Source organism: Homo sapiens, chromosome 2, assembly GCF_000001405.40.
Source record: "Homo sapiens chromosome 2, GRCh38.p14 Primary Assembly".
In the NCBI taxonomy this organism is placed as follows: Eukaryota; Metazoa; Chordata; class Mammalia; order Primates; family Hominidae; genus Homo; species Homo sapiens.
In genome coordinates this window covers 191,441,413-191,446,878 of record NC_000002.12, presented here as the reverse complement: position 1 = coordinate 191,446,878, position 5,466 = coordinate 191,441,413, and the positions used below count along the sequence as shown (strand labels likewise).

Genomic DNA, 5,466 nt, shown 5'->3' with positions numbered 1-5,466 from the left:
CATCCCATGACCTCTGTGAGGCAATGCCTTCCCAAACTAAACAGTTATAGAAAAACTTATTCAATCCTTTGGTTGTTTTGGCTTTTTTTTCTCACCTTTTCTTTTAAATTTTATTGTAAAATTAAACACTAATACAGAAAACCACACGAATCAAATGTATAGCTTACTGAATTATTATAAGACAAACACCTCCAAGCTCATGAAACAGAACTTCACCACTTGCCTTGGAAACCCCCTCAATGTGCCCAGCCCAATCACAGTCTCTCCCTTCCCCATAAATAACCACTATCCCGACTTGTTCCTCTAGTCTCTGTATTTCCTGCCAACAGGAAGCTGAATCCAGAGACAGGGTCCGATTCAGGTTCTATTCCCTTGACAAATTTATAGGCAGTGTTTTTGAAGGCTATAGAGGCATATTTTGTCTGGTTGTCTCTGTGATTTTAGAAACTGTTGATACTTAACACCTATAGCCACTCATTAAAGGTTGCAAAATGGTGATATTCTAGTTCTATCATTTCTTTTTCATTTATTAGTTAGAATACTTTCATAAAGTGACACTTCCCCTTATCTACTATTTGTTTACAGAGTAAAACATTTCATATAGGAAATGAAGGATAAATGTTTGGTTTTTTGGCTCTGTTTACCAAGATAATGATTTCATTTCTTATCATCCTCCAAAACTAATAATTACGTTTTTATATTATCATGAAATCATGGATTTAAACCTATTTGATGAATTTTAATCCATTGCAATTATCATTACTAACTCAAAATTTTCCATCTTTGGCAATGGTAGCCTCTTCAAGTTGACTCCTGAGTCCTTTAGACATGACCCTAGTTGTCTTTGATAGCTCCCTAACCATCTGGTATGACAAGATGTTCCAGGGTCGTCTGTTCATTTCCTGCATTACACCTGGAATCAGCACTGTCTCCAAAGAGACCTGGTCCTTTGCAGTGATGAATGGTATTGTAAAACCACAAAAAAGAAGCTAGAGATGTTTACTGCTGCTGTGTAGTTATTGTTTCTAGGTCTTTTCTTTTTCTTTTTCTTTCTTTTTGAGACAGAGTTTGTCTTGTTGCCCAGGCTGAAGTGCAATGGCACGATCTTGGCTCACGGCAACCTCCACCTCCCGTGTTCAAGCGATTGTCCTGCCTCAGCCTCCTGAGTAGCTGGGATTACAGGCATGCGGCACCACACCCGGCTAATTTTGTATTTTTAGTAGAGACGGGGTTTTTCCATGTTGGTCAGGCTGGTGTTGAACTCCCAACCTTAGGTGATCTGCCCACTTTGGCCTCCCAAAGTCCTGGGATTACCGCCTCTGTGTCTTTTCAGTGGACACATCTGGGAATAAAATAAGACAAAGAATCACGTAGGTTTATATTGATATCTTCACTGAGGTTTTATTTAATCTCTTCTCTACTTTAGTATCACCTTTCTTCCATATCAAGGAAGAATCTTGGTTCTCAAGGACAAAGGAGATGATAGATTTAATATCTCAGAATTATTCATTTGTTTTATTCTATTTTACACGCAGTCTCAGAATGGCAATAGTAAGACTAATACCAATATAACCAATGAAATTATTCCCCCTCTCCATTTTAAACAGTTGATTAGCATTCTTTCTTAGCCCTCAGTCTTCATTCTAGGGACTCATGTGCTCAATGCTCACCAACAGTCCTTATAGTAGTCAATATTTGTCTAGTTATTTTATCTGAACCTCATTTTCTAAAAGATTTTTCAGGTAGGGCTCATGAGAATAATATTCCCGGAGTTCTGTTGGTGCCTATTATACTTGAAAGTCATGCTAGATATAGAATTCACACTTGTTTCCATGAGGATCTTAAATATCTTACTCCATATTTTTTTGCATACAGCATTAGTGTTAAAAAGTATAATAATCTAATTTCTTTTCCTTATAAACAATATGCTCATTTTTTCTTTTTTCTTTTCCATTTTTTTTTTTTTTGGGGGGACGGAGTCTTGCTCTGTCACGCAGGCTGGAGTGCAGTGGTGCGATCTCGGCTCACTGCAATCTCCCCCTCCCAGGTTCAAGCGATTCTCCTGCCTCAGCCTCCCGAGCAGCTGGGACTACAGGCGCCTGCCACCACGCCCAGCTAAGTTTTTGTGCTTTTAGTAGAGATGGGGTTTCACCGTGTTAGCCAGGATGGTCTCGATCTTCTGACCTTGTGATCCGCCTGCCTTGGCCTCCCGAAGTGCTGGGATTATAGGCACGAGCCACTGCGCCAGCAATGTGCTCATTTTTTCTAGATACTCAAAGGATATCTTCTTTTTTATTTTTCTGAGGCAGAATCTCATTCTGTAGCCCAGACTGGAGTGCAGTGGTGCAATCTCAGCTCACTGCAACCTCCCCTCCCGGGTTCAAGAGATTCTCCTGCCTCAGCCTCCCGAGCAGCTGGGATTACAGGTGCACTTCACCACGCCCAGCTAATTTTTGTATTTTTAGTAGAGACGGGATTTTGCCATGTTAGCCAGGCTGCTCTCGAACTCCTGACCTCAGGTGATCCACCTGCCTCGGCCTCACAAAGTGCTAGGATTACAGGCATAAGCCACTGCACCCGGCTACTCATTTTTTGCTTTTAATTTTTAAATATTTTATATTTAAATTTTTTTTTCAATTTGGAAGTAATTTCATATTGGCAGAGAAAGTTGTAAAAAATAGGACAAAAAATTTCTATCTACTGTTTACCTATTCCTCGAATGTTAATATCTTACATGCTTACAGTACAATTATCAAAATCAGGAAATTAACACTGATATAACTCTATTGTGTAATGTACAGACCTTACTCAAATTTTATCAATTGTTCCATGACGGTCCTTTTCTTCATCAGGATTCAGTCCAGCATCACACATGGCATTTAGTTCTCTCTCTCCTTAGCTTCTTTTAACTTTGAACAGTTGCTTCATCTTTCCTTGTCCATATTTTTGAAAAGTGTGGGCCAGTTGTTTTGTAGACTGTCCCCCACTTTGGGTTTATCTGACATTTCCTCATGATTAAATATCAGTCAGGATTTTTCAGCTTTGGCACTATTGACATTTTTGGCCAGATAATTCTGTGTTGTAGGAGGCTGTGCTCTGCGTTGTGTTTATTGTATGTTTAACAGCATCCTTGGCCTTTACTCACTCAATGCCAGTAGTATTTTTCCAGTCTTGACAATCAAAAAGTCTCCAAACATTTTCAGATGTCTCCTGAGTGTGAGAGGAAATGAATCCCAGCTGAGAACCACTAATTTAAGTTATGTATTTTTGGCAGGCAGTATATTCGACTGATTGGATGAGGTCCACTCACGTTATGGAGGGGAATGTGCTTTATTCAAAGTTCACTGATTGAAATGTTAATCTCATCCAAAAATGCCCCTACAAAAACATCCAGAATAATGTTTGACCAAATACCTGGGAACCATGGTCCAGCCACGTTGACATATAAACTTTGATATATTTCAGGTTTATGTGATTTACAGCAAAAATCATTCCTGATACATAGTGCTATTTGAAATGTATGAAATTACTTTGATATTCCAAACATTTCTCTTCCTAGTTCACCTTAACCACAACCACACAAAGTACTTCCCTGATCTGTTTTTACTTATTCTTCATCACCTACATTCTCAACTAAGATTGATGATTCTGAAAATCTTACCTCTCTATTGTATATCAAAGGCCCTAGGAAACACTTATAAATATTTACCTATCTCTAGACAGAGGATTTCTTTCCTCACTTTTATTCAATTGTTTGCTATGGTATAGACCTGTGATATCTAATATGATACCTACTAGCCACCTGTGGCAACTGAGCATTTTAAATGTGAATAGTTTGAATTGAGATGTGCTGTAAATGTAAAATACACAATGAATTTTGAGCCGTTAATATAAGAAAAAATGTAAACCATCTCAATATGTTTTTACATTGATTTCATGTTGAAATGATAATATTTTGGATATATAGGATCAAATATTATAAAACATTAAATATTACAATTAATTTCACTTGATTCTTTTGACTTTTTTAATGTGGCTGTTAGAAAATTTAAAATTACAGGCCAGGCGCGGTGGCTCACGCCTGTAATCCCAGCACTTTGGGAAGCCGAGGCGGGCAGATCACGAGGTCAGGAGATTGAGACCATCCTGGCTAACACGGTGAAACCCCGTCTCTACTAAAAATACAAAAAACAAAACAAAACAAAACAAAACTAGCCGGGCGTGGTGGCGGGCGCCTGTAGTCCCAGCTACGCAGGAGGCTGAGACAAGAGAATGGCGTGAACCCGGAAGGTGGAGCTTGCAGTGAGCCGAGATCGCGCCACTGCACTGCAGCCTGGGCGACAGAGCGAGACTCCGTCTCAAAAAAAAAAAAAAAAGAAAATTTAAAATTACATGTGTGGATTGCATTTGTGGCACACATTATATTTCTATTGGACAGTGTTAGTATATACATAGAAATAATTTTTTGTAATTAATCTGTCAATATTATATGTACATTTTATAGGCTTTTACGATTTTATTCAAAAATATAAGTTGATTTGTTTTATTTTTATTCTTTTAAAAGTGCTATCTGGAGCATCGTTAGCAATTCAGAAAAACAAAAATTACAATGAAAAATCAAATGGGTAAGGAAAGGGTTATACGAACAGGGACTCGACTCAGCACTTCGTGTCCAAGAAGCTTAGCAATTTTCCCAGCTCACTGAATTGTGGGAACTCAGCTTTTCCAGGGAATAAATACGCTATTTTTAACAATTTTATTATACAATTTGTCACAGGCTGTCTCATGAGAGTATCAACAATCAGTTTCAAATAGAATCCAACCACAAACACTTCTCCACATGGGACTCGGAACATCTGGCCTGCTGGAGTGCCCTCCGCCTCAGGCGGTGCCAGCAGTCTGACTTTGATTCTCACTCTCCTCGAAGGCTTTGTCATACTTCCCACACTGGAACTAAAAAGGGAGTAAACCGTCTTTCAGAGGCCAGCCTTCAGCAGGTCTGAGTTCTAGGCGTCTATTCCCCCTGACTTAGGACGGCAGGCCCTTCCAATGGAGGCACGTGCTGCATTACACTGATATCACTGACTTGATGATTTATGTGGCATTTTCCCTAATGGTCGAGATGACAGCTTTGGTCTAGAAAAAAAATCAGCCAGCTTCTCCAAGCTGAAGAGATCATTATATCTGCCCTGAGCAGAACGCTTCATGCAGGAGGCTCAAATTTATAACAGGCACAGGCTGCTGTGTTGCCCACACCTTCACATGAGGCAGAAAAGGCTCATGACTGGAAAAATGAAGCAAGTAAACGTGCTCATTCAGCCAGCGGCATCAAAGCAGTGAAAGACACTGAAAAAGGGAGATCTAGGGGAACATGGGAATTACATAAAGAAACCCCGGGCGTCTTACCTCCCTTTCAGCAATATCACCCTGAAAAGTTAGAAACTGAACATTAAAAACTCACTGATG

The 5,466-nt window shown here is 39.4% G+C and overlaps 1 annotated feature.

Moving 5' to 3' along the window:
• Positions 1,114-1,281: a silencer, noted in NCBI's record as "fragment chr2:192310324-192310491 (GRCh37/hg19 assembly coordinates)". NCBI's record gives its function as "represses an EF-1alpha promoter that drives an FKBP-Casp9 reporter gene in an ReSE screen in K562 erythroleukemia cells {active_cell/tissue: K562}" and the evidence as "EXISTENCE:reporter gene assay evidence [ECO:0000049][PMID:32094911]".